We start from the raw sequence: 6252 nt of genomic DNA on the forward strand, positions 1-6252 counted from the left end.
TCAAGTAGTCTGGCTCCAGACTCTGTGCTCTGATCACGAATCCAGTAGGCCTTAAGTAGTAGGCATTCAATGGATGTTTGTTGCGGCTCTGCTTTGCAGGTGAACAGGATTTGTTTTTTAACCAGAGAGTTAAGGGATTTTCCGGGTATTAGAAATAGGGTGTGCAAAGCCTTGAGTTTTGTACGTTCCCCTCTTGGAACTCTGATGGGATAGAGAGTTGGGATGATTTGAGTAGTGAGAAATGAGGCTGGAAAGGTAGAGTGGGTGACAAAATCCCCAAAAGGCTGCTTTCCTTGGGTTGAACGTCTTCAGGGAAGGGGAAATACCAGGCAAGCATGTTTTACTAATGAAGAAACAAATGCTTGAAGATCAGGTAAGTTGCCCAGTGTTACACAACTAGTAACCATTTCTGGCTTCACTTAACCATTGTTATGCTCTGTACTGTTTCCTCCGTTCTGTCATTGCAGACCCACGTTTGTCTGCTAATGAATTTCTGATCCAGAAAAGTGCAGATTGGTGTGCATTTATTACCTGCCATTGGTGATAGAGGTGAATGAGACAGATGTAAGAAAGGAGAGGTGGCTGGCTGTACATAAAGAATTAAAATGTTGTAATGGAGCTTGGAGTTCTCCTTTAAAAAAAAAATTTTGGGGGAGTGTGGACAGTCAAGTCTTAAGACTGGTCATGTGAGAGGCTTACTGATGGGCCTTTGTTTTTTTATGCTGTAGTAAATTAAGGGTGTTTGTGTGTCTGTATTTTCAGGTATATGGGACAGGTTGCTCATCAACTCCCAACCTAAGTCCAGAAAGACCTCCACTCTTCAAACAGTTCGGATAGAGAGGAGTCCCTGTAAGTACCTCTTCCCCTCTCTCACCCTCTCTAATGCTGAGTTTTGTCTGATTAAGCTGTGGGACGGTCTCTGCCTTCATTGTCAGGTATCAAACCACAGATAGTCCAGTGGAACAAGTCCTACTTGGGATTTACATGATAAAGTCAGTACACAGAATGGAACTTCTTACATTATTTCTCTACTTTAAGAGGGTAACTTTTTCGTGAAAAATTGCTTGTGGGTTGAATTTTGGGAAGTCAAAAACAATTGTTAATCTCCATGGCAAATTTATTTAGAGGTTACTGAGCCTCAAACTTAATATATATGGATGGAAAACCACAACCACATCCCATTGAATTGGACACAATTATTTAAATGATAAATATTACTTAGAATACAGCATAATGGCCAGTTCTCTTTATTATTCTGTAGTATTGCTGTACTGCACATTCATAAGTATGTCCCACACTCAGACTTTATTACACGAATGCCCTCTATGTAATTCACTCTTAATATTAAAAAAAGGCAAAAATTCAATAAAAACAATGTAAATAAGCATGAAGGTAATGAAGGTATCACATCAATAAACTAAGAAATCATGAGTACTCTGAAAGGAGAATTTAACTGTAGCATCATTACTGTAGCACTAAATCTACAATAGCTGAAATGACCATATGGTGGCTGCCCATCCAAAAACCAGTTTTTGTGGATATAGGTTTTTGTTTTGAGGGATTACATACCTAGGAGTGGAATTGCGGGTATATAGAAGGTGTAATTTTTTTTTTTTTTTTACGAAGAAGAAATTGCTATTTTGCATTTCCACCAGCAAGGTATGAGAGTTTAGTTGCTGCACATCCTAACCAAAATGTGGTATGGCCTTTTTAATTTTAGCTGTTCTAGTGTGGATATAGTGGTATCGCGTTGTGATCTTAATTTGTTTCTAATGGCTAATAATGTTGAGCATCTTTTCATGTGTCACTATTTGTATGTCTTTGGTGAAGTGCCTATTCAAATCTTAAACACATTTAAAAAATCAGGTTTCTTATTGTAAACATCATTCTTGATAGTGCAGCTCTGCTGGAGATAGACTTACCAGCCTTTGTGTGTCTGAGAAAGTATTTTGCTTTCAGTTTTTGGAAGATGCTTTAATGGATTTAGAATTCTAGGTTGACAGTGTGGTTTTTTGCTTTTTCTGTTTTCTCCAGTACTTTAAAGACATCACTACACTTTCTTTTCAGTGGCATTGTTTCTGACGCCAGTGTCTACTGTCATTTTGTGTCATGAATATGGTGTTTCTTTTCTTCTCTGGCTGCCTTTAAGATTCCCTTCATTACTGGTTTTTACCGATTTTATGGTGATGTGCCCTTTGTAGTTTTCTTTGTGAGTCTTGAGCTTGGGTTTGTTGAACTTACTGGATCTATGGGTTTATAATTTTTATCAAATTTGGGAAATTTTTAGGGATGTTGTTGTTGCTTGCTCCTGTCTCGCCTCTCCTGAAGGGACTCCAATGACACCTAATTTTGCCAGTTGAGGTTGTCTCACAGCTCATTGATTGTTTGTTTGGGTCTTATGTTTTGTGTGTTTCAATTTGGATAGCTTCTATCGCTGATTTCGTTGAGTTCACTATTCTTCTATATTGTCTAATCTGTTAATTCTATCAAATGTATTTTTTCAAGGTAGATACAGTTTCCATCTCTAGAAGTTTGAGACTGTTTACATCTTTTTTTCTTTCCTTGTGTTTGTGCTTTTCTTTTCTTCCTTGAACATACAAAGTATATTTCTAAGAGCTGTTTTAACATTCTTATTGCTGATTCTGTCGTCTGCATCATTTCTGAATCTTTTTTCCCTACTCTTTATGGATTATGTTTTCCTGTTTATTTGCATGTTTGCTAATTTTTTATTAGATGTTGGACATTTTGAATATTATGGTGTTGTGTGTTGAGTATTATTTAATTTAGAAGAACCACGACTGGACTAGCCTCAGGGTTCAGCATATACTCTCCTAGAGTACCACGGAATTATTTGGCTTCTGAGGATCACAGTTCAGGCCGCACATTTTGGTACTTGTTTTGCTCTACTTGATTCATTAGTTGGAAACAAAAGCAGTACCAGATTTTCTATCTGTAGCAATATATTTAAATCTGAGGACAGAGAAATACCTTTATTTGTATTAGTAATTTCTCTTTCTGTAATCTGAAGGGGAATGAGAGCTAACATTCACTATTACGTCGGGCTTTATTTGTGTGCATGCTCTTAGGGAGTCCTTCCAGCACCTTATTTTACAAATAGAGGTCGTCTACTTGACCTTGGCCACTATTTTCTTTTCTTCTTCCATACGCTGGACATTTTAGTCATCTGTTATGTAGCCATAGCAGTTACATAAGTTTTGAGAGTCTGTTATATGCGTGGTTATGTGCTGGGCCTCTTTTGAGAGAGAAAATAAATATCCTTGTTTGTTGACTGCTCTGTATTTGGCACAGTGACTGACAGTTATCACTCCTCTTTTATGGATTAGTACGCTGAGGTTTCAAGAGGTAGAATTAAATGTATTAATTAGGATTCTTGGTTGCAAATGACTAAAATCCAGCTCAGATTGCCTTAAGCAAAAAAAGAAATTATGTTGGCTCTTTTTATTGGGGGAAAAATACTCCAGGCACAGTAGATTTCAGGTGCATCTGGATCCAGGTGCTCAGTGTCCTCAGAGGTCAGCCACTCTGTCTCTTAGTTCTGCTTTCCTGGGTATTGGCCTAATCTAGAGCGTACTCTTCCCCCAGGTGTGGAGAGTTGCCAGTTTATCAGCAGCTTCAGCCTTATATTCAGCCAACTCAGTCATTCACTCAGAAAGATTTCTCTCTCAACAGTTCCAACAAAAGGTCCTGAGTGATCTATTATTGGCCCGACTAGAGCAGCGTGTCACTGTGATGCCACTAAAGCATGGTACAGTGGCCAAGGATATGGAGGATGTAGGCATGTATGGGGTGAGGGGCAAGAGTGACTAAGAGTGACACAAGCTTAAAAGGAAAGCCAGGGTTATATTATCAGAAGAAAGGGAACGTATGTTGGGTAGGCAGAAATAACCACTACTTAATTAACTGGCCCAAGGTAATTCAGATAGAGGTAGAACTAGGATTCTGTACATACCTAGTTATTCGTACCCTAAAGCCTCAGAACCTGGTGCTCTTAACTGTTAAGTCACACTGCCTCCCTATTTAGTTACTATTTGTTGAATGCCAGCCTTCTAGGAGTTTACAGTCCTGGGGATATATGAGAAACATAAAACATTTGTGAAACAATTGCTGGATTGTGTAGTCCTACTGTTTTATTCAGAAGAGGATGGAGGGTTTTTAAATGAAGGGAACTAAAAGATATGTAATTATGGTTGTTATTATTAATACTCAATTCAGAAGTGTTTATAGGAAATCCTGGGTTTCAGAATTTACTAGCATAAATGTTGATATGCTGTATTTACTTTCCACAGTATTGGACCAGGTACAGACATTTCTCCCACAGATGGCACGGGCAAATGAAAAGCTAAGAAAAGAAATGGCAGCTGCACCACCTGGTCGTTTCAATATTGAAAACATTGATGGGCCTCATAGTAAAGTTATACAAATGGTAACTATGCTTTGTTTTCATATGGTGAAATTACTGGTCTGCCTGTCACCTAAGAAGAAGAGAACTTTTCCATTTTATTTTCAAGTTTTCATTTTCCTGGTGTTAGCTCATGTTTCCAATGTTGTATAGGTACATAGTCATTTTATGATTTAGTCATTTTAGTCATATGATGTCACAGGAAGGTTTTTTTTCCTAAGTCAAATGCTACATTTGTTATTCTGAAGCATTAATTTACTCGATGTCCTAACTGGGTTTTTTTCTGTCCAAGCCCCAAAAGAGGTAATCATAGCCTGATTTATTGAGTATGCAAAAATAAATGATGTGTGGAAGAGAGCAATTGATTACATAAGCTATGTGCAAAAATGTTCTCTCAGTTTATACTCATATCTTGTTTCTGCAGTGGAATTCCGTTTATAATATCTGTGTCTGGACCAAGCTGAGACAATTGTTAATAATATCTAATTCATTAGCCATTCTATTCAGCTCTCCCTCCAGAATAGATCCCAAATCCAACCACTTTGTACAACCTCTGCAGTTCCTTTGGACCTTTGTTGGCCCAGGTAATTATGGCCTCTCCTTTGGAGTATTGCAGCAATTTCTTAGCAGGTTTTCCTGCGTTCACTGTGCCTTCCCTGGGGTCCGTTGTTCACACAGTTTGGGACCTGGGGGCTTCCCATCACGTTTCAAATAAACTAAGTCCTTCAAAGGGTCCATATGATCCTGCCTGCAGTTCTCTATCTCAGAGGTTCCCAACCCCCAGGCTGTGGACTGGTACTGGTCTGTGGCCTGTTAGGAAGCAGGTCGCACAGCAGGAGGTGAGCGGTGGGTGAGAGCGCATTACCACCTGAGTTCTGCCTCCTGTCAGATCAGCAGTGGCATTAGATTCCAAAAGGAGCGTGAACCCTATTATGAACTGTGCATGTAAGGGATCCAGGTTGTTGTGCGCTCTTTATGAGATTCTAATGCCTGATGATCTGAGGTGGAACAGTTTCATCCCCAAAACATCCCTGCCAAGGTCCGTGGAAGAATTTTCTTCCACAAAACTGGTCCCTGGTACCAAAGAGGTTGGGCACTGCTGCTCTGTCTGACCTTATCTCCTACACAGTCCTCATTTACTGCCCTCCAGCACCAGTCTCACTGCAGCCGGTCTTCTCCCCTGCGGTTTTCTCAGGTAGAATGCTTTTCCCTAGATTTCTCCATTTCGACTCCCTCTGTTTCTTTTCAGTCGTCACCTGATCAGGAGGCCTTCCCTGATAGCTGTATTATTATTTTATCCTGCTTTATTTTTCCATATTTTCACAACCCTACATTATGCTTTATATGTATTTGTTTATTGCCTTTCTTTCGCCTCTGGAACAAGAGTCAACAAATGTTTCTGTAAGAGGTCAGATAGTAAATACATTAGGTTCTGTGGGCCTTACTGTCTCTGTTGTGACTGGTGAACTCTGCTGTCATAGTGTGAAAGCAGCCACTGACAATACATACATGAATAAGCAAGGGGAAAACATTTTATTGGGGAAAAAAAACCTCCAGGATTGGTGATTTCAGGTGCACCTGGATCCAGGTGCTCAGTGTCCTCAGTGGTCAGCCGCTCTGTCTCTTGGTTCTGCTTTCCTAATGTTGACCTAATCTAGAGCATGCTCTTCCCCCAGCTGTGGTAGGTTTCTGGTTTATCAGCAGCTTCAGCCTTAGAGTCAGCAACTCAGATTTCTCTCTCAACAGTTCCAACAGAAGGCCCCGAGTGATCGCTTATTGGCTCAATTAGAGCAGTGCGTCACTGTGTATGGGTGCTGAAATGAGAATTTCAT

The 6252-nt window shown here is 39.7% G+C and overlaps 1 protein-coding gene across 1 annotated transcript in view; it reads left to right on the top strand.

Moving 5' to 3' along the window:
* The window catches only part of NOPCHAP1 (NOP protein chaperone 1), a 31310-nt gene that overhangs the window by 1089 nt on the left and 23969 nt on the right, over window positions 1-6252 (top strand). The window contains exons 2-3 of the mRNA NM_152318.3: window positions 763-849; window positions 4308-4444. Coding sequence (NP_689531.2) covers window positions 763-849; window positions 4308-4444 — 224 coding nt within the window. The remainder of the gene's footprint in view (window positions 1-762; window positions 850-4307; window positions 4445-6252) is intronic.

Source organism: Homo sapiens, chromosome 12, assembly GCF_000001405.40.
Source record: "Homo sapiens chromosome 12, GRCh38.p14 Primary Assembly".
NCBI lineage: Eukaryota > Metazoa > Chordata > Mammalia > Primates > Hominidae > Homo > Homo sapiens.